General features: G+C 37.3%; 2 protein-coding genes and 1 long non-coding RNA gene across 5 annotated transcripts in view; 2 read left to right on the top strand and 1 right to left on the bottom strand.

Moving 5' to 3' along the window:
- PRH1-PRR4 (PRH1-PRR4 readthrough) overlaps positions 1 to 23,393 on the top strand; it is a 325,777-nt gene that overhangs the window by 235,003 nt on the left and 67,381 nt on the right. The gene's annotated exons all lie outside the window — the stretch shown is intronic.
- PRH1 (proline rich protein HaeIII subfamily 1) overlaps positions 1 to 23,393 on the top strand; it is a 290,647-nt gene that overhangs the window by 234,989 nt on the left and 32,265 nt on the right. The gene's annotated exons all lie outside the window — the stretch shown is intronic.
- PRH2 (proline rich protein HaeIII subfamily 2) lies at positions 1,778 to 7,387 on the bottom strand. 2 transcript variants are annotated; one of them, NM_001110213.1, is made up of 4 exons: positions 7,286 to 7,387; positions 6,319 to 6,354; positions 5,543 to 5,961; positions 1,778 to 4,397 (listed from the first exon to the last, which is right to left on the bottom strand). In NM_001110213.1, the coding sequence occupies exons 1-3, from the start codon at positions 7,347 to 7,349 to the stop codon at positions 5,561 to 5,563; spliced, it is 501 nt and encodes a 166-aa protein (NP_001103683.1). In that variant the 5' UTR covers positions 7,350 to 7,387; the 3' UTR covers positions 1,778 to 4,397; positions 5,543 to 5,560. The 2 variants fall into 2 exon arrangements, with proteins under 2 accessions (NP_001103683.1, XP_047285057.1); XM_047429101.1 differs by having other exon boundaries at positions 4,303 to 5,961.

Below are 23,393 nucleotides of genomic sequence, written 5' to 3'. Positions count from 1 at the left end.
CAGATCCATGGTTGCCTGGTAACTGGGGGTTTGATAAAGAATGGGCAGTGGTAAGTTGGAGGAATAACACAGGAACATAAAGGAAAGTTTTGGGGGTACTATATATGTTTGTTACCTGATTATAGTGATGGTTTCACATGTGATGAGTATCACATGGTGAGACACTCATGAAATTGTACACTTTATATCTGTACAACTTATTGCATGTCAAGTATACCTCAAGTGGCATATTAGAAACAACTCAGGAGGAAAACTGCACATAAGTATGCATTCTTAGAAAGCTTCTCTTTGCAACTTTGGAAGAATCAAATATTATTATTTCCTATTCTTATTTTTTGATCTTAGCCTGGGCCTTATGTTTACTGGAATAAAATATGTAGGAATTCTTGTTGTCTTATCTACCTTACTGGTTTGTCTTCCCCAGTAGTAAGTTTTTAAGGGAAGAAAGCTGCAGGGGTGTGTGTATGTGTGTGGGGGCGGGGTGGTGGGAGGGATAGGAGAGCAATAGCAGAGAGCTCCTCTGAAGTGAGTTCTAGCTTTCCTGGAGCCTAGGTTCTGCTTCATCATCGAATGCCCCATGAAAATTCAGTTTCAGAGCCTACTCCATTACCCCATTTTCATTCTTGTAGGAATTGGTGTGTTCCTCAGATTCAGCTCAATATCCTGGAAGATGCCAAGCCTGTAATGTCCATCCTACCTCTGCCTGGGTCATGTGTTGGCGCTCCTATCCTTGAAAGTTTTTTCTTAAAATTTCCCATTTTTGCCTGCTTAACTCCTCAATCTGGATCCCTCCAAATTCGAGGATCATATAGACAACATTACAGATCTTTGCTGATGTAGTTTATTGCTCTCTATTGATTTAAAAATTTTCTTGAAGAAATAAGAATATATTGGGATTTAACTCCACCGTGTTGTTTAGCAAACCTATACTTACTTACTTTGGAGTAAGATTTAACAGCCATAGAACAGATGTTGCTCAGCAGAGGTGTGGGGAAGCTGAATAAAACCCAACCTTTGATAACTCTAGGGGAGTGGGTATTACTGAGTAGAGGAGAAGTACAAAATGAGGACAATTCATGCTCTGCAGATGTTCCTCTGCATTCTCAATATTGTCCCTATCTGGCTTTAACAAAGAGGCTGCTGTGTGGGATTAATATAGAGTTCTATCAGTTTTCATAAGCCCTGTAAATGGTTCTCAAATGTTCCTGGATATTTTCAGTTAAGTATTAGAGAATATCAAGGGTAATTATGTTTTTAAAATATTTTGATATATAATATTTTTTAATGTCAGGATAAGCTTAATAAATATTAATGAAGGAAGCAAGAATTAATTATTAGAAAATCGAAGATTTTGAATCCATGTGATTTCCTGAGCCCTATATTCTTATTGCCAAAAAGACAGCAGTCATTCCTGGACAATAATCCTATAAGGTTATTCTGCAAAGTGTGTGTATACGGGAACTTGCAAACAATTAATTGATAAATAAATGTAAATTATCAGCACTCAGCATTCAGGAGTTATGGCTCCTCTGGATTCATTCAGTAAATTTCAATGCTTTGAATTATAAGAGCTTTGGATAAACTATGAAAATATCCCCTCAGTCTTCCCTCAGCATTCCTCAGTGGAGATGATTTTAGTGCTCAATATACTCCATCTACTAATTTACATATTTGCTATATGTTATACTTCTATCCATTGAATTTTAATGCAATTGATAACAATTAAAATTAATAAGCAAATTGTGAAGAGATTAGATAAAGCAAACATGCACAATGATGCAGAGAATTGTCTTTATTTGTTTATTAACAATGAGAATTCAGTTTTTTCTTTCATCATGAAGTATGAGAAATTTCACTTTATGTTAAGAACATACAGTATCTGGATCAGAATGCAGATAGCTGTCTGGGGCAAAATAATCTTTTTGTGAAAAAAGCTATGTGCCCATTCATTAGTACACCTTAGTGCTTTCTACTTTCATATTGAGCCTATAGTTTTTTTTTTAAAGGAAGAAATTAACTGCACATCCAATTAATAAGTATGTATAACAGGTACATGTGATAGATGAAGAAATTGTCAGCGTTGCATTTAGACATTGGAGCTCTCTCTTTGCAGCCATGCTAAATGCCTTGTATAGTATCCTCATTATAATAATAAATATATAATTCCTAATTGGAATTTTGGGGAATGGATTCATAACACTGGTGAACGGAATTGACTGGGTCAAGATGTGAAAGAGATCTTCGAATCCTCACAGCTTTGACTATCTCCAGAATTTGTCTGATTTCGGTAATAATGGTGAGATGGTTTATAGAGGAGCTGTAGTTATCTTTACAGATGAGCAGAAAGAAAGCCAGAGCTGCAAACTCTTGTGGTGAAGAGAATACATCACTAGGGGGAACCCATCCCTGGGAAAGAAGCTGTTCTTAAAATCAGAAGTGGAAATAACTTAGAGTAAAATAATCAGATGCTTGCTATCACAATGGCATTAAAAATTCGAAGACTAGGCCTTTTGGTTCCTTTGTGAATAATCATTTTCTTATTATATTTACTAGCTGGTCATTGTGTAATCACAAAGATTCTTTAGAAGTTGAATTAATAAACGGCTATTGTATTAAATTTTATTTTAATTACAATGGTTTTCCTTCCTTTCCTTTTTTACCTGAGTAGAATCTCTTGTTATTTTCTGGACAGAAAAACAGATCTGCATGTGGTGGTAATTTTACTCCTTCCATTTGAATATATGTATCTCTGTTATGTGCTTGTTTATCTAATATTAAATAAAATTATTCACTTTCTAATTATCCACAACATTGACAAGCTTTTTCTTTGTGCCTTTTTATTAGATAATTTTTCAGGGTGTTGCAGATACACATAAGGTTAGCAGCTACTTTGAGGTACACCATTTTAATCATGGTCAGAAGGCTAATCAAAAAAGTATTTTACAAGAATTGTTTTTTAAAAAATATATTAAATATTATCAAAGACAACGTTGGCATCTTTTGAGATGGTCATATTTTTTTTTCCTCTGCTGACTTCATTATCCAAAACAAATAATGAACATTCCTTAACATTCCTGGAATCAAGTCTGCTTGGTCATTTAACTCATATATCACTTTAATTTGTTTTAAATTATTTAAAGTGAGATTTATAGTTATTACTGTTAGAGTAGTCATATCAAAAAATTTTTTTTCAAGAACTTGGGGTATTTCTCTTCTTTTCAGCATTTTGTATAAATCAGCATACTAAAGGACTGCCTGTTAATGAGGAATCTTCCATGAAGGTGCTTTTGGGAGGAGTGAATTCTCTATTAAATTTCATCATATTTTACTTAGATATTAACTACTATAATGAGTTTAATATATTTTTAAGGTCATTTTGTATATAAGTCACTCCATATTGTATATCTGTAAAAACTGTGTTCAGTTTTTCATGTTTGCTTTTCAGAATGTAGGAAAAACTCATCTTTTAAAACACTTGTTTAAGCTTTACCTGATTACTCTGAAGATTATCTGTTTCCCTTATTCTTCCAGAATTTTCACAATCTTTTGCCAATTTTATTGGATTTTCAAGAAGTTATTACTGTTAGTTCAAAATTTATGAATCATTTCTTCTCATTCATTTAATCTTTTAAATTTTCATTAATTCTTATTTCTGTTCTCCCAAGTGTATTTTGTCTCTCTTTTTTAATTATTTGAGCTCATTGCTTACTTTTTTTTCAATACTCCTGGTTGCATTATAAAGTCATCAATTTCTAAAATGTTTTCTGACTATTGTGTAAATCAAGTCACATCAATTTTCACACGCAATTGCCCTTCAAATTATGCTGCCGCCTTGATGAAATCCATTCAGGTTTTCTTAAGAATGGTAAGAATCATAGGCAGGGACAGAACTGATCAGTGATAAAATAGGGGAAAATAGGTCTAGTGGCTTCTGGGGAATACAGGCATAGAACCATACTCACTTTCCTAGAAAACAAAATAAGTTACTCTCAAACTTGTTAAAGTTTCTCTCAGCTTCTGGGACTTTCTTTCATTGGTCCTGTTTTGCTTACATTCATAAGCTGACTAGACTATCAGGAAATGACCTGAAAATAATTGTGCAATTTAAATTCGAGCTAAGAAGACAGAGAAGGAAAGAAACAGTGGAACTCCTTCCCCAGGCAGATGACTTAATAAGGATAAGGAGGAAAGAAGCTTGCTGGAAACATCAAGGAGAAGGGGTCCTGGATGTTCTTACAATGTGAACATGGGTCTCAGATTCCAGAGTCCCAAACACTCAGAAGGAGATGCTATAATCAGAAATTGCAAGCTGATTATTTTATTGGTATATTGAAGTTAGAGCATGATCACATTATGTTTCAAGGCATTTGAAACACTGTCATCTTCTTATTCACTTCCTGAAAAAGACAAGGAAGATTATAGGCAAGACTTGACATGGCAGGAAATGTCTAATACCTCATTGGTTTACTGCGGTGAGGAAGATGCAAAACCATCCTTTTGCCCTCTATCCCTTCTACAGCCCCCCTCCTTAATATCATTTTCTTTGTTCACACTTTCTATGCCATTGCACGTAATGTGCTTTAAACTGTTGCTTAGATGAGGACGAAAAACGATTATTGTTAGGTTGTTCATGCTTTGTGGCTGTTGGATACGTTAAGGGTTATTTTCAGAAAGATGGGGACTGCAACATATCCTGTAATAGGGACAGTGTGAAAGCAGCCTTAATGTTCAGTGACAAGGATTGGTTAAGTAAATTATGGAAAAACCAAACAATAGCATCATATATAATTGTAAAAAAAAAAACTAACCAATAAACACTGAAGAGATCTAAATAAACTCATGTGAAAGCTAAGAAATAAATTTTTCCAATAAGTAAGACACAGAACTGAATATAAAGTGTGGTATTAGTGGTGGGAAAATTATATATAGTTATGTAGCAATAAATATTTCAAAGAGGAGTTTCCAAACAGTAAAAAGTGGGAGTTTTGGTAAGGGTAGAGGGGAGGAGAAATGAATTGCTATTTAGCTTGGTACATGTCTATTCAGTGAGATTAGTTTTTGTTAGCTTAAGCATGTATGACTTTAAATGTGAAATGTGTTTTAAAAAATGAGATACCATTTAACAGCTAAAAGTCCAAGGACCATTTAGCAGGAATACTGGACTTGAAATGCTAGTGTGAGGCAGGACTGAGCCTGTCCTGAACAAGGAGTGTTCAGGTAAAACTTTAAATAAATGGGAGTCTTTGAGTTTGAGGAAAGGAAACAGAGTGCCAAAGGGAGAACATGATTCTATGTCCTCATTCCCAACCCTATTTAAGAGAGGTAATTTGAAGATAGTGATTCTCAAAATTGGAATTGCCTTCAAGAGATTGTTTAAAAACAAGATCTTGCTACCTTATCCCAGAATATTTGAACAAAACTCATGAGAAATGTGTTCCAGGACACGGAAATATTAACAGCTTTTCAATAGATTCACTGGCACAATGAAGTTGGAGAACTGTAGCAGTTGGAGCCTTTGATGGATAATAAACTGGAATCATACCTATCATTGAATCCTAGATTACTGAGGAGACTGCCCCTGTGGAGGTCCTTGTGGGCGGCCCCCTTGGGGAGGTGGTCCCTGGGGCTTTCCAGGAGGAGGTGGGGGAGGACCTTGCTGATGGCCTCCCTGTTGGGGTGGTCCTTGTGGCCTTCCTCGAGGAGGACGGGGATGGCCTCCCTGTTGGGGTGGTCCTTGTGGCCTTCCTTGAGGAGGAGGGGGATGGCCTCCCTGTTGGGGTGGTCCTTGTGGCTTTCCCTGAGGAGGTGGTGGACCTTGTTGCTGCTGGCCTCCTTGTTGGGGTGGTCCCTGCTGAGGGCCATCATTCTGGTTCCCATCACCAGCAGAGGGTTGAGATTGCTGTCCTCCCAAAGGTGGTCCCTGACGCTCCTCATCTATGAACTGCTCAGAGTCTCCTCCATCTGTGTGAGTTGAAACAAGAAGAGCTGAGCTCATGCTGGAAAACCCTCCTGTCTTCATATCTCTCTGTCTTCACCACACGGCCGGCCCCTCTCTCCCTGACCTGCCTCTCAACTCCCAACCTCCCCCCTTCCCAAGGCTTCCTAATTAGAACTCCTCTTAATCCACATTAGGGTGGTGAAAAATCAAATTTCTTTACTCATGGTCCCCAGAATCAAGGTTGGGAGAAAACTGTTTATATCTCTGGGGCACTGATATTAGCCAATTCCTGACAAGGATGATAAGAAGACACTGGAGAACTGATCAATTTTTCAGGGAAAAATGGAGACAGAGTTTACTGAGAATTTATTGGGATTTACCTGATATTACCAAGGGAACGTCTTCTTGGCTGACATCTAGAAAAGAAGTACAGGATGATGGGAAAAGTTACTGCATGAATCATTCAGAGCTCATAGTGTTCTACGAGGATAAAGGACCTCTGATCACACCCTGTGCATCCCCTTTGAGATCTCATCAGCCACTCTCTGATGCTACCGGAAGTGGAAGAAGATGTAAGGGAAAGCAGGATTGTTACTACACTGAGCGTCAACCAGGAACTCAACATAGAAGGGCCCCTGTTTGTCCTCTCATGATTCCTTAAGCCTTAGTGCTTATTTAGTTAAAGGGCTCTTGAGTATTTCAATGAAATATTTGGGGATCCTTCTGCCCTCTTTCATCTGTAAATATGTTGTTTATGTTTGCAAGCTTTCTCAACAGGAGCCACCAGACATAGCCACTTAGATACAATCTTACAAATGCCCGTCCCAGCACATTAAAATACTACATGCAGGAGAGAAAAAAATGACAATATTTCACTCTGGTGATTCTCTAACTCTATGTAGACAGAGGCAAGTGTTTACCCAATTCTCTGCCTCAGCAATAGCTCTGACATGTGTTTATCTCCTTCATGGATACTCATCCACTGTCCAGCAAGGCCACCATCATCCCTGTCTACTGGGATCAGTATAGGATCTTCACAGCTGCACTTCCCTGAATCTGTCTTGCATTCTCCATATCCTTCCCAGCAGTCCCATGTCTCTATAAATGCAAATCTCACTCTCTCACTCCCCCGGTACAAATTCTTTATTGGGTTCTATTTGTGCAATCAATAAATTATGAGGTCTTGATGAGGAATGAAGGCACAACAGGTCTTCTGATCCTTGGCATGAGAACTCTTCAGTCCTATCTGTTTTCTCATCCTCCTCTCTTCCCTCCACTTTCCCCCTCTATAGCATTCGCCCGTAAACCCCAATCAGAGTCACAATATCTTCCCCCAATTCGGCTTACCTTCATCTAAGTCCTGAGCTGAGCTGAAGGCCAGCAGGGCCACTGACAGCAGAATCAGAAGCATCTTGCAGAAGGCTCTGGTGTCACTCCCAACTTTATGCTGGGAGAAACGTGTCAGCTCCCTTTATAAAGACAAGCAGGACAATGGCGCATTTGAGCTCCCTACCAGGTGGGCCTCCTCGCCTCAGAGACTGGGTTCTGCTTTGCTTACTTCAGGTCAAGTGTATCCCTCATTTCTTCTGGGACTCTAGCCTAGCAGGAAGGGTTGGGGAGGATGTTGTTTGTGGCTAATTTCTAAAAGGTACAACTATGACTTGGACAAATGTTTTGACGGAACTGTGTCCAAGCAATCAGCACAGTGTCAGGATTGAACTTTAGACATCATTTGTTTTTCAATCTGTTTGGAAAGACTGCTATTCTGCTTTCCACTGTGCTTTTCATTTGTGTGTATGTGAGTTTGTGTGGGTGTGTCAGGGGGTTGGGCAGCAATCCTACAGCTAACAGTGAAGACGGTCAATATGTCTGACTCTTTTGATAGCCTATTTCCATCTCTCATGATGTGTGTGCATGGATATTTGTATATTTAGCTAAATTTTTCATGTAATAGAGATGCTTTCTGCTTATCCGTGAGTTGTGTGAGGACAGCACACTGCTGGGTACACATAGATGACAGAAGGCTGCCCCGCAGCCTCCTCATGCTACAGGAAATTTCCAAACTCTGTGAATCTCACTACACTCAGGCAAGCGTTGGTGCTGTACAATACAGGAAAGCTAAAAAATTTGTATTTTAAAAAATATCTTTAGGGATTATTAAAGCAAAACTGAACACAGAAACCACCAAGGAATTTCTAGACCTAAACAAACTGAAACATGGTTCCCAAAGTGAGCCACACGATGTCATGTAGCTAAGACCTCCACTTTCTCCAGAATATTCTATAGAATTCATCATCTACTTTATTTCTTCTAACAAATACCGTAGTCTTCACCACTAATAACTAAGTGGCCATACTTATATATTCAACTTGATGATTTGTAATGCCTGTTCAAGCCTCAAATGCCTTGATTGGTCTTCTGTTTTTTACTCAGTATTTATGTCACCAGTTTCATCAGAGTTTTCTTTCACAAAGATGATTTTTTCTATGATATTCTAATACTAATTCTTTCTCATTCTCTTTCTTACATTCATTTGTTGATATTTTATATGCTGAGACTACCTTGTCGTTTGTAATTTTCTTCCTATATAGTTTTTTTCTCCCCACATGACTTGTGGGAGATGACATTTATTTAATCTTCTAAGCAATGGTGTATGGTACTCCTCACTATCTTTATTTTCATTTTTGTCTCTACAATTGGACAATAAACTATTAAGTTTCTGAAAAATCCTTCCAGGGTCCTGGATTGGTACTCCTCTTCTCAGCTGCTGATTGCTCTGTGATACCTAGAAATTCCCTGTTCCTCAATTCATAAAATATACTACTCGGTATCACCAGCTGCACTTTCCATTTCAGACCTTGTGTAGGCCTTGTGTAATTTTTCACTTTTTGTGCACGGCTAGTGTTTATTTGAGGATAGCTTGGTTGGAGGCATGGCTGAGAGGCCATGTGACAGAAAATCATAAAGACAAGGCCCTAGACAGATGTGCATGGGTGGATCCTGTACTGTGCATACGAGGGTCTGGTCTGGCCCTTCTGAAGAGTTGCAGATAACAAAACAAGAAGGCTTCCTAATAGATTAGATTTTTCTACAGACAACAATGTTCTCATAAGGGACCCAGGCAGACTGATATTTTCCCTGAAATAAATATAGACATATTTGAAGTGGGAATGCATTCTTAATTGGCAATTCTTCTCTGGCCCTGTGGAAACTGGATCAGTTTTAGCTGGGCTTGATGGGTTGTATCTTAGGCACAGGGTAGGTGCTTAAGCCAAGCAGCTCCCAGTGGGTTACTGGGATTATTTTCTTTGGTTTCACCAGATACTGTTTTCCATTAGACCTGGAGATGAGCAGTCCTGCCTTGGTGATTTCAGGTCAACCATCATGTCAAAAAGGAAGGCCAGAGAAAGGGAACAAAGAGGGGTGCCAGACAGATATTGCCTGATGATGTGGGTAACGGAGAAAGCTGCAAGCCTGGTGAAAGACAGATTTCTCCTTGGCAGCAGAGTACAGGAAAAGAACAGGAAATGCTCCTAAAGGTCGCTCAGCTCAGGTCCCTTCCATGACCTTCTCCAATGTCAACAATCAGCAAAAGAGACTAGCATATCAAGAAAGTATAAATACCAGCTATGCTCTCACCAGCCAAATCAAAAGAAGGGGTGATGGAAGAGCTGAAAGGGACACTGTCTGGGAGTGAGTGTGGGTGAAAGGGAGAAGTAGGACTGCTGCAGGAGCTTGGGCACCTAGAGTGGGTGGCAGCCGTCAACAACACAATTCCCTTCTACTATGGATGTTCACATTCTGAGGTCCTGAAGCATCAGTCTTCAACATATGAAATTTTAGGATTCATCTTTCATAACACATCCCAACTTTTTCTCTGTTACTCACAGGTGTTTACCTAGTGGTTCAAAAATCCTCACTCCCTCCAGGCACTACCCATTAGCTTATCTAATTTCTTCCACCTTCAAAATACATCTCAAATGTGTCCACTTGCATGATCTTTACTAGAAGCTTGTTGTTCGGCCCACAATGCTCTCTCCTGGAGGTCTTTAACAGCCTCGACCTGGTCCTGGTAACATTCTTCCCCCAGTACATCCCATATCAGTTCCCTCACGACAATCAGAGTGATCATTTAAAAGTAGAAATTAGATCATATCACCCTTGTGCTTCAAACCCCTTGTTTTTCCTTCTGGACTTACAATAAGGTCCAAATTTCATGACTCAGCTCTTTCACACCCACATGACTAAATCTTTTTTGAAGACCCGGAAGCTCTCTGAATGGAATATAAAGTAGGATCTTCTTCAACTTCACCTTGCTCTAGTTTGCCTGGAATACTGAAGGATGGTTTGCCAGGAAAGATGAACATTGGCAGAGGGGATAAACTTCTCCGAGAGTGAGTGAATTGCATTGAGTTGCTTGTCTGGCAGTTTATGTACATTGGAAGAATTATTGTATTCACTGTATCAACTAAGCAGTCTGATAATACAGTTAGCAAATAAACACAATGGTCTCTGAGACTTCAACTTTGCTTTGACTTGTCTAAAAACTTTGGTTTCACTATCATGGTAATCATCTATATTTTTTAATTTGATGTTGATGACCTATTAATATATATTATACATTTCACAATTAATTATCATATTTCTATTCTTTCCACCTATCCTAGCCAAATTGGTTATAATAGAAAACATTTTTAAACATTTACTATGTTCCACTTAATCATCAAAACCATTATATTAGGGACATATGATTGTTATCATTACCTTAGTTTTATAGATGACATGACTTAGGTACATAACAATGTTCTTATAAAGGTATTAAGTGGAATAGAAGGCAGTCAGTACTCAGAGTTTAGTGTGCACCACTACTCACTTGCTATTCATTTATTCATTTCATTATTACAATATGAGAAGGAATGAGGTTCAGAAAAGAAACATAAGTTCTGTTATTAGGAGATTATCAAGGTTAAGCTTTCCTAAGACTTTAACAGGTGAGGTGAAAAATATATTTTTCCTGAGGAAATAAGTTTGTTTTAAATCATAAGCACATTTACGTAGGCTTCCATTCACCTGTTTTCCTCCTTGCCTTCATATAAAGATACTCATACAAATTTATTCGTTTTTTGTGATTATGAAAACCCAGTCAATGTAGATCCTTTATGTGCTTTCTTAATACAAGCCACATGCATTTTTCTGCTGAGCCATATTAGCATTGGCAAAACTTGAGCCTGTCCTTTGAAATGAACCAAAAATGTTGATTCTCATCACAATGAATGTAAAATTTTAGAAGTCCAAGAGAGAGACTGGCCTGAGATTTGTGTATGAAGGGATAAATTTGTATACCACTTGCACAGATTTCAGTCTTCTGCCTGAGAGTGCCCCTGTGTCCTGGCCCCAGAGCTGGTGTTACCAAAACAGGTCCGGGTCATTGATATTATTACTAAGGTGTTATCTGAGCTCATGGTCTCATGACCAAGAAAATTAAGGAGTGTGGACACAAAAGGGTGAGGTTGGAGCAAAAGTTTAATAAGTGAAAGAAGAAAGCTCTCTGCAGTGGAGAGGGGAGTCAGAGTGGATTGCCACTTTTACAGTTGAATCCACAAGCTTTTATGAGAAACTGCTCTCCAACACATTCAAAAGCTAGCAGACAGCAAGAAACAACTAAGATCAGAGCAGAATTGAAGGAGATAGAGACACAAAACACCCTTCAAGAAATCCATGAATCCAGGAGTTGGTTTTTTTGAAAAGATCAACAAAATTGATAGACCAGTAGCAAGACTAATAAAGAAGAAAAGAGAGAAAAATCAAATAGACCCCCCAAAAAATGATAAAGGGGATATCACCACTGATTCCACAGAAATACAAACTACCATCAGAGAAAACTATAAACACCTCTATGCAAATAAACTAGAAAATCTAGAAGAAATGGATACATTCCTCGACACATACACCCTCCCAAGACTAAACCAGGAAGAATTTGAATCCCTGAGTATACCACTAACAGGCTCTGAAATTGAGGCAATAATTAATAGCCTACCAACCAAAAAAAGTCCAGGACCAGACGGAATCACAGCCGAATTCTACCAGAGTTACAAGGAGGAGCTGGTACCATTCCTTCTGAAACTATTCCAATCAGTAGAAAAAGAGGGAATCCTCCCTATGTCAGCCATTGAGTTGGATCATTGTAGATGTTCATCCCATTTGAGCCTTCAGATGACTGTGGTCCCATCCCTTATCTGATGGCAACTACATGAAATACCACAATGAGAGACTATCCACTAAGTCCAGGCAATTCACAGAATCGTGAGGAAAAAAGTAATAAACTGCTGTTTTAAGCCTGCAATTTGGGGAATGATTTGTTATATAAAAATAGAAACTTAGAATAGATGGAGAAATGAGGCTGGGCTCCGTGTCTCACGCCTGTAATCCCAGCACTTTGGGAGGCCGAGGCGGGTGGATCATGAGGTCAGGAGATGGAGACCATCCTGGCTAACACGGTGAAACCCCGTCTCTATTAAAAATACAAAAAATTAGCTGGGCGTGGTGGCAGGCGCCTGTAGTCCCAGCTACTCGGGAGGCTGAGGCAGGAGAATGGCGTGAACCCAGGAGGCGGAGCTTGCCGTGAGCTGAGATCGCACTCCAGCCTGGGCGACAGAGCGAGACTCCGTCTCAAAAAAAAAAAAAAAAAAAAAAACAGATGGAGAAATGAATAAAAAGAACTTATCACTTTAATCTCAAAGCAAAAAAAGAGTGAAAAGAGAGTGATAACTAGCAAAATTTTAATAAGACAGTAAAAGCAAGTTCAATGTTATCAGAAATGTTCATGAATTTAAATAAATTTGCTTGATCTATCAAAAGACAGAGAATAAATAAGAAAACAAAACACGACTATGTTCTGCTTTCAAGAGGCATACCTAAAGCAGAAAACCACAGTGACAGAAAATAAATGGGTAGAATCTACCACTAACTAATGAGCACAGTAACTGCTACTTATGCCTAATGTCTATTATCCTATCATTTGTTGGTGATAGAATCACACTATTCCCTTGGACAATTTGTGCCACAAAAACTTTCCTATGTATTTTTTAGTTATGTGAAAGATAGATGCTCTTCCACATGCATATATTCAATTGCTTGTTTATATTTGTCATATTTAACTGAATTATAACTAATAATCACATAACATTTAAAGTAAACAACAGTAACAGTTAAAGACAGGTGATTACAGAGTAGTAAGAATAAAACAATTCATCGAAGGCTGGGCATGTTGGCTCACGCCTGTAATTCCAGCACTTTGGGAGGCCAAGGCGGGCAGATCACCTGAGGTCAGGAGTTCAAGACCAGCCTGGCCAATGTGGTGAAACCCCCATCTCTACTAAAAATACAAAAAAATTAGCTGTGCATGGTGGCGTGTGCCTGTAATCCCAGCTACTCAGGAGACTGAGGAAGGAGAATTACTTGAACCTGGGAGGCAGAGGTGGCACTGAGCCAAGATCACACCATTGAACTCCAGCCTGGGCAACAAGAGCAAAACTCTGTCTCAAAAAAAAAAAAAAGGGCCGGGCGCGGTGGCTCACGCCTGTAATCCCAGCACTTTGGGAGGCCGAGGCGGGTGGATCATGAGGTCAGGAGATCGAGACCATCCTGGCTAACAAGGTGAAACCCCGTTTCTACTAAAAATACAAAAAATTAGCCGGGCGCGGTGGCGGGCGCCTGTAGTCCCAGCTACTCGGGAGGCTGAGGCAGGAGAATGGCGTGAACCCGGGAAGCGGAGCTTGCAGTGAGCCGAGATTGCGCCACTGCAGTCCGCAGTCCGGCCTGGGCGACAGAGCGAGACTCCGTCTCAAAAAAAAGAAAAAGAAAAAATTCATGGAAAAGATGCAATAATCATGAATTTGGACATACCTAACAATGCATTACGTAAATAGATAAAGCAGAAGCCTCACAAACAGAAACTGAAGAATCCACAAATAATAAGAATGTAAGACACACTTAATAAACTGCCATATCAAGCAGAAGAAAGAATGATATGGAATATTTTAAGAATGCAATTAGCAAAAATTAATTCAATACTTTTATGTAGAAATCTGTACTTGACAGAAATCTGGACACAAACATTCAAATACACATGAAACATTTACACACCTAAACCATGTACACTATAACAAAGAACAGATTCCATGGAATAAGTATTACGTAGAATGTAAAGTAGTAAAATGTTAAATCAATCAAAAAAGTTTGAAAATTGAACTATTCTCTATAACTGAGAAAAAGATGAACATTTCTACATAAAAGATAAATGTTTAGAACTCAGCAACGAAAAAGCTTTTCACAATCAAAATGAAAAAACCGGCTAAAGCTAAGAATCCATATCCATTAGTACATGTTTTATAAAAAAGTTTTCCAGATGAATGAGGCACATATTCACCTTCAGTTAAGAAAAATGAACAACAGAAAAATTTAAAGAAGGGTGAATAAGTTAAGAAGGAGCTAATATGTACCTTGCGCTTACTTAGTACATGGTACTGTTCTAGGTGGTTTAGGTGTGCTATTTATTTTATATTTATTCCTAAAAACAGTCTCATTCCCTTTGGTTTTTAAAGAATCAGAGGCATGACAGGGTGCTGTGGCACCTGCCTGTAATCCCCGAACATTGGGAGGTCAAGACAGGTGGATGCTTGAGTTCAGGAGTTCGAGACAAGCCTGGGCAATATGGTGAGACCCCACTGCCCTCTACAAACAATACAAAAATTAGCCGGGTATGGTGGTGCACCTTTGTAGTCCCAGCTACTAGGGAGGCTGAGGTGGAAGGATCACTTGAGCCTGCGAGGTCAAAACTACAGTGAGCCAAGATCGCACCACTGCACTCCAGCCCCGGGTGACAGCGTGAGACCTTGTCTCAAAAACTAAACAAACAAAAATCCAAGGGATAGCAAGGTTAAGTAAATTTCCCAAGTCATAGACTCAGCAAAAGGAAAAGTTAGAATTTGTCTGAAGGGCAGTAATTATGCTTTTGGATGTCAACCAAAATCAAAGTAGTAAATAAATAAATGAATGAATAAATAAATAGAAAATCAAAATATAATAGACAATGGTAGTACAACCAAAATCTTTTAAAGATTAGGAAATTCAAAAGTCTGATGGTACTGATCAAGAAATACGAGAAGCAGAAAAATTGATGAAATGTAGAAAATACTAAATAGCAGAGCTTTATATAATCAAAGTTCTAAATAATTTTATTCCAAAATTTAAAAACTCAGTTGAAATTGCCAAGTTTTTAAAAAGCATAGGTTAACAAAAATTTATATTAGTAGTAAAAAACTTTAATAAATCAACAATTTCAAAGATTTTGAATGGACTATCAAAATATACACAAGATATCAAATTCAGATGGATTTATAAAAAACTTTTACTAAGTTTAAAAATGTCATAATTTTTACCTTCTCCAAACTACTTCAGTGAACCTAAATGTTTTATTCTCATTTATTTTAAGAAGTTAAAAAATTATTCTCAAAGTGAGTAAAAACAGTAGAGGACAGCAAATAATGAGAAGGTAGGCAATTAGATACAGGCACAAAACTGCTAAAAAAAAGTGTAAAAGTAAATTAGTCTCATAATATATACTTAAAATATATTACAAATGAAAAGATTCATTCTAAGAATTTGAAGATAATTTAAAACTAGAAAGTAAATAATTTTAATTTACATAAAATTATCTCAACAGATGTTGCAAAAATGTTTAATCTAATTTAACTCCTAATCAAGATAAATACCCAAACCAAGTTTAAATAGAAGCAACATTTAATAACTTGTATGTCTACTAAACAAATACAGAAGCATAGTTATTAGTGTAACATAGAGCTTTTCATTTAATCAAGATTAAGACAAAGATACTTGTTTATTGACAATTTCGTTAGGTCATTTAACTAATACACTTTGACAAAAATATTGTTACATAGAAATTTGGATGGAAATTTAAAGAAATTATATACTAATAGTAGTAATTCCACCTAGATAATTTAAAAATCAACAGGAAAACTTTTGAAATAACACAAATTTGATAAGCTTGCTGAGTACAATATCAATATATATGGGCTAAAATTACACCTATTCACCAGCACTGGTCCATTAAAATGTGGAATTAAAAAAATTCCCTTTCTTATTACAAATAAGAACTATATTTTGATTATGACTAAGTCTCAGAAAAGTGTTTCATGATGTTATATATTGTGAAATTACATAACTATAATACTTTAGTGAAGGATTTGAACTATATAGATATGCAAAAATTAATTTTCAAAGACATTGATTATGCTCAAATTAATTCACATATTCAATATAATTCTAACCAGAATCTTAAAGAAATTTATTTTCAAATTGACAAAACAGTCCTAAATTACACATGAATTAAGTATTCAAAAATAATTCAGACAATTCTTGAAAAAGAAAATTAAGGTAGGGGTATCCAGTAGATAGCAAGACTTATTTAAATTATTTATTTAGTGGCTCATACTTGTAATCCCAGCATGTTGGGAGGCTGAGATGGGAAGATCACTTGAGTTAAGGCATTCAAGACCCACTTGAGCAACACAGTGAGACCTTGTCTCTAAAAGCATCAAAAAAGTAGCTGGGTATAGTGGCAACTGTAGTCTTAGCTACACAGAGAATCAAACAGGAGGATTGTTTGAGCCCAGGAGGTCAAGGCTGAAGTGAGCCTTAATTGAGCCACTCCAGCCTGGGCTACAGAGCAAGACTCTGTCAGGAAAAAAAAAAAAAAGATTAAAAAAATTTTTTTAATATTTTTTGAGACAGAGCAAGACCGTGTCTCAAAAAAATTATTAAAAAAATCAAAACAATGAAGGTTGTGACACAGAAATAAAATGTATATAATAAGTAATAGGTCAGCAGATCAAACTAAAGACAGGTCTGGTGAGACCAGATTGTTTATTCTTATCACATAGGAACCTCCGTACGTGATAGATTTGGCATTAGAAATCAACAAAAAAAAAACGTAGACTGTTCAACTAATGATATTGAGACCTCTGTCATTTAATATTGGGACAAAATTGTATTTCTAACTCACAACAAACAGAAAAACTACATTAGATGTACTATCACTTTAGATTTGAAAACAATTCTTTAAAACTTTTACAAGAAAATCAAAATAAGACTCTACTGCCTTTAATTTGAGGAAGCACATGTCATTAAGGAAAAGACTGATGAGTTCACATTTGCTGATAAAAATAATATAATCTGTCCATCCTAAGTTAGGTGTCCAACAAATAGTTACATGTCTATCCTCTCACCTTTCATGTCCTCCAACACTTCTCTTTAAAGAGTGGCATAGAATAACATCATGAAAGAATGAGGAAACTCCAGTGCAACAAAAAAATTATAGAGTTTATAAATATCTTTTTTTGTTTACAAATATATTGTGTGAGATAGATTTTTCCATCTTAAATATGTGAAGAAAAATTAACCCTGCAATAATTAGTATTGTAACAACAATATTGCAATTTGAAATAAGACAAATGTGTAACATACTTCTTCTTCCAAAGTAAATAAGAGGATTAAATATAGAATTGAAAAAGTAAACAATCAAACAGAGAAAATACCAAGAATTGTTTTGTAATCTTGAAAGTTGGGAAGACATGTTTAAACATGATATTAAAGGCAGAGTACATTTAAAATGAATGCATTTAATAGCATGACTGGAAGAATTTCTGAATGCCTCAAGAAAATAAATATAGAAAGGTAAATAATAGATTAAAAACTTTAAAGTCTATTTGCAATATAAACAGTAGAAAAAAATTTAATACTTTTACTGTTTTATAAAAAAGATAAAAATAATTTTAAAAACCAGATTATCATATATAAAAAATTCAGCCTCACATTTAAACAAAAACGTAAGTTTAGTATAGTACTATGGTAAAATGAATAACAAGTGCTCTATTTTGCATTTCAAATTGGCCACATTTTGCTTTTGTAAATTGTTACATAGAATTATAATGTGTGCAAAGTTACGAGCAGTCTCGTTTAATGCTAGTGAGAGCTTACATTGGTGCATGCATTTTGTAGGGGACTTTGTCAATATTAATAAAAGTCTTAAATGTTTATATAGATTATAACCTGCTTTTTGGACTTCACCCATTTCTACGACTTCATCTTACAAATAATTGGAGATTTCACCACAGAGTTTTGTCTTAGTCCATTTTATGTTGCTATAAAAGAATACCTGAAGTTGGATAATTTATTTTTTTTTGCATTTTTGATCATGTGGATCTTTTAAAAATGTATTATTTATTTATTTATTAAGTTCTGGGGTACATGTGCAGGATATGCAGGTTTGTTACATAGGTTAATGTGTGCCATGGTGGTTTGCTGCACCTATCAACCTATCACCTAGATATTAAGCCCAGCATGCATCAACTCTTTTCTCTAATGCTCTCCCACCCCCGTCCTGCCCCAACATGCCCGCTAAGTGTTGTTCCCCTCCCTGTGTCCATGTGATCTCATTGTTCACCTCCCAATTATAAGCGAGAACACGTGGTGTTTGGTTTTCTGTTCCTGCATTAGTTTGCTGAGGATAATGGCTTCCAGCTTCATCCATGTCCCTGCAAAGGACATGATCTTGTTCCTTTTTAAGGCTGCATAATATTGAAGCTGGACAATCTATAAAGACCTAATGTTTCTGCAGGCTGGGAAGTTCCAAAAGCAGGCACTGATATCTGCTCAGCTTCTGGTGAGGGCTTTCCAGCTGTATCTTGACATGGCAGAAGGTCAAAGGGGAAATGGACATGTGTGAAGAGGCAAAACCTGAGGAGCCTTCTGACACTGTGACCACTCAGTCTTGCAGAAACATTTCCATGAACACGAATTCAGTCAGAAGAGAACAAGAACTGACTCAGTACTGCTGGTTTTGAGTTCATTCCTGCTACTGAATTCAGAAATGTCCTGCCAATGCCATTCTTCAACATCCTGTTAGTCTCCTAATTGGGGACTGTAATGTGTACATAAATTGAAGTTTAGGGTGAAGCAACAAGTGAAAACAGTGAAAGGAAAACTGTCCGTAACTGCATCTGAGAACACTAGACTTCACTGGGTATTCTTTTGAATATGGAAAGTTATCACCTGTGGCTCTTATAAAAAACTAAAATATTTGTTAGTATGAAAATTGCCAGCTGAATCATTTGAAAAATGATTGCTCTGATTTCATAAAGATCAATATGACATGATCCTACAGAAGAACTGATTTTAATGTAATTAACAACAAATTAACAATGAGCAATGGAATTAATGGACATAGCAAGAGAGAAGTACTGAAACAATAAATATTAAATATTTAATCCCTTAATTATTGTATTAATCCCTTAGTTGAAAATAAAAAAAATTATAAAATTAGGAATTTTTCTCTCTGAAGAGAAGCCAGGTATAGAGGAGGACATTTTCATGGTGGTATTAACTATGGAATTCATCACTGACTTAATTGGCAAGGAACAGGATATCTGCTTCAATGACCTCATTCTCACCAGCTTATCTCATACGTACAAATATATACATATCTGTATATATGAGTCTCACCCATGTATACATATATTTAAATGTATACATATATATGAGTCTCACTGTCACCCAGGCTGACTGGCAGTGGCATAAGCATGGCTCACTGCAGCCTGGGCCTTCCGGGCTCAAGCAATCCTTCCATCTCAGCCTTCTAAGTAGCTGGGACTACAGATGTGCACCACCATGCCCAGCTATTTTTTTTATTTTATTTTATTTTATTTTATTTTATCTTATTTTATAGAGAGGTGGTCTTTTTATGTTGTTCAGGCTGGTCTCAAACTCCTGGGCTCAAGATATCTTCCCATTTTGGCCTCCCAAAATGCTGGGATTAGAGGTGTGAGCCACTGTGCCCGGCTCAAATATATTTGTTGATGATAACACTAATCCATTTCTGTGGCACTTTTTTTCAGGTATTTATAGCACCAGTAAAATGGGGAGAATGATAGTTTGCTTGGGTTTCTGAATGGTCCTTTTGCATATTTGTTTACCACCTACCTCTATTTTTCACTGTCTTGGTGAGAGCCCATTCCTTCCACCAACTCTTTTCATAGCTAACATGACAGTTTATGTGGTTGTTACTGTTATTTTCTATGGTTCTCTATCTGTGGCAGGTCTCCCTTAAAGACAAGGAAATGTTCTGAGTTGGGGGAAGAATATAAGTCTCATTAAAAAAGATGTAATTTTAGAACTAGGAAAAAAAGTGTAATCTTCAAGAGATTCTCATATTGTCTGTGAGCTCCCATTTGTCTCATAATATGTTAAACTGCATCTCTGGAACAGGGTTTGATATGGTTTTTCTGTGTCCCCATCCAAATCTCATCTTGAATTGTGGCTCCCGAGTAATTCCCATGTGTCATGGGGAGGAACTCAGTGGGAGGCAACTGAATCGTGGGCGGGTCTTTCCCATGTTGTTCTTATGATAATGAATAAGTAATTCTCATGAGATCTGATGGTTTTATAAAGGGGAGTTGCCTTGCAAACTCTCTCTTGTCTGCTGCCACGTAAGATGTCCCTTTCCTCTTTCTTTGTCTTCCACCATGATTGTGAGGCCTCCTCAGCCATGTAGAACTGTGAGTTCATTAAACCTCTTTCCTTTATAAATTACTTAGTCTTGTGTATGTCTTTATTAGCAACATGAGAACAGACTAATACAGGGTTTTAGCTCAACATGTGTTAATAAGGTCAACTAAGGCACACTAAAGTTTTTTAAAAGTTTATTTGCAAATGATGGTTCATAAATTGGAAAGCTCCAAACTGAGGTGGTTCCGGAGCTCTACCGAGGGAACGCGATGGGGATGCTTTTATAGGACAGACAAAGAAGAAAAGCAAAGACAGGACAGATGAAATAAGGTAACTTTATAGCTAACCAATCAAATGTTTGGCTATCCTGTTGGCTGTCTTTGATTGGTTGAGTTTAAGTTCTGTTTTTCTTTACTATAGGCATTTATAAAAAATAGCTCAAGTTAATTTTTGCTTACTTTTGTAAATCAATCAGTTTTAAGGTCATATGAGACCTAACTGGCTTTGTCTGCCTAGGGATTCTTCAGACCTGGCCTCCATTTTAATATACTTTGACACGTGTGACCTAGTTTGGGTTGGCATTTCTTTCAGAAGCACAATTTTTTAAGAAACTCAATTTTTTAGTCTACTTAATTCCTGTCAGCTTCACATACAAGCAAACAAGTCACAGTTTTTGTCTAGTCTGCTGCTTCTTATATTTGCTGTGTTTTGTTGCTTTTTCACCCCTCTGCTTTTCTCTCTGGATTTAATATCAGATACTTTGAGCATTGTAAGGCTTCATTCAGGAAACCAGATATTTAATCACTCTGCCTTGATATTACCTTGTCAAACTGAAAGAGCAGTAACTGTCAGTTGAACCTTTTTCTGTAAATATAATCTAGTCAGAATTTTTAACATGGATGTAACAACCATACCCTTGAGATAATCCTAGTCTTAAGGCTGAGTTTTTTTGTTTGTTTGTTTTTTGTTTTTTTGAGACGGAGTCTCACTCTGTGGCCCAGGCTGGAGTGCAGTGGCATGATCTTGGCTCACTGCAAGCTCTGCCTCCTGGGTTCACACCATTCTCCTGCCTCAGCCTCCCAAGTAGCTGGGACTACAGGTGCCCGCCACCATGCCAGGCTAATTGTTTGTATTAATAGTAGAGATGGGGTTTCACCGTGTTAGCCAGGGTGGTCTCGATCTCCTGACCTTGTGATGCACCTGCCTTAGCCTCCCAAAGTGCTGGGATTACAGGCGTGAGCCACCGTGCCCAGCCATGGCTGAGTTTTAACCAGGCTTAGAAACTCAAATACTATTCAGTGTTGAGAAGCAGTTGCCTCTTCCAGCTCTGCAAAATCTCAAGTTTCTAGACTCTTCTTTCTGATATATTTTTTTCCTGCTTGCAAAGTAGTATAAAATTGTCAGAATCAAAATGAAGTCACTTGTGTTAAAACTCTGACAAATGGAGCTGGAGAAGGCCATGAGGGGAGAGTTCTTAATGTAAATACGACTTATAACAAGAGCTACCAGAAAAGACTCTACAAAACAACAACATTGCACAAAGGCCACTGCAACCCTACACAAAAAGATACTTCTGCAAGGACATCTGCTCAGAACCTCCTTGTCTAACCTTAGACAGGTGTCACCCTTGTTCCTGATCCTTGGATCCAAGGTTAATTATCTCAAAACAATTATGTAATCTTCCTCTTTTAGAAATCCTTGTCTTTTCTAATGTCCCTGAATACACACATAATTTACTATGGCACATGTATTCTCATTGCAATATTACTCCCAAATAAATATCATTTTCTTTTAGAGCATCTCCCTCTGTTTGCTATTTAGCTAGACAGTAGGCAATTATTTTCTAAAGTCAATTTTTTTAATTGTCAAATGAACCATTAATATATTCAATTATATTTTTTTTCTAGAGTTACAAAACTTTCAAATATGTGATTTACCTCCCACATAACCACAGGTGACTGCTATCGAATGTTTTGCCACTCCCTATCTTGTTTTACAGTAAACAGTAATGTTTTTTCTTGCCACTCACTGCCAATGAATCAAGTATTAAGCCAGTGTCACATAAGTTAGGTGTTTTGTTTTAGTAACATACCAGTTCAAGAGGCCAGTCTCATACTTGCCAAGATAGCTTAGTCTATGCTGTACTAACAAGATCCCCAAAGCTCAGGGACTCCACGTAGGAGAAGTTTTTGTTGTTTGTTTTTGTTTTTGATTTCTGTTACATGTCCTGTGCTCATAGTGGTCACAAAAGAATCCAGGCTGATAGATGGTTTATTGACCCTTGTTTGAGTGTCAAGGCAAGAAGATGAGAAATTTGCAGTCTTATAGTGGTGAGTAAATGCTCTCACTCTGAAGCAACATGTCATTTCCACAATATTTTATTGACCAAAAATTTACATAATATACAACTTCAAGGGGGAGAGGGGACTCCTACAAGACTACATTTCTTATCCTACAAGGAATAAAATGTTAGCATATAGCTCTAGGTCCCATTTTACGACCTCTATGCTATGTACAAGATATATATCTAAATCCTAATAACAAAGAGAAGTTAAAAGTAAAATTTAGAAAAATCACACCATAAAACACTAACAAAAATAAGCTAATGTAATCATTTTAATATATACTAAATAGATTTTTTTTTTTTGAGACGGAGTCTCGCTTTGTCACCCACACTGGAGTGCAGTGGTGTGATCTTGGCTCACTGCAAGCTCCACCTCCCAGGTTCCTGCCATTCTCTTGCCTCTGCCTCCCGAGTAGCTGGGACTACAGGTGCCTGCCACCATGCCCGGCTAATTTTTTGTAGTTTTAGTAGAGACTTGGTTTCACCATGTGTTAGCCATGCTGGTCTCGATCTCCTGACCTCATGATC

This window comes from Homo sapiens, chromosome 12 (assembly GCF_000001405.40).
Source record: "Homo sapiens chromosome 12, GRCh38.p14 Primary Assembly".
Classification (NCBI taxonomy): domain Eukaryota; kingdom Metazoa; phylum Chordata; class Mammalia; order Primates; family Hominidae; genus Homo; species Homo sapiens.
Note: the sequence above shows the minus strand (reverse complement) of the source record. Positions and strands in the feature narration are given on the sequence as shown.

Bases quoted from the DNA above. Each gene is read 5' to 3' on its own strand.
- PRH2 (NM_001110213.1), bottom strand. From the start codon at position 7,349: ATGCTTCTGATTCTGCTGTCAGTGGCCCTGCTGGCCTTCAGCTCAGCT. The intron at 6,355-7,285 runs GTAAGCCGAATT...CTTCTTTTCTAG, and splicing joins AGCTCAGGACTTAGATGAAG to ATGTCAGCCAAGAAGACGTT. The intron at 5,962-6,318 runs GTAAATCCCAAT...CAACTCACACAG, and splicing joins CGTTCCCTTGGTAATATCAG to ATGGAGGAGACTCTGAGCAG.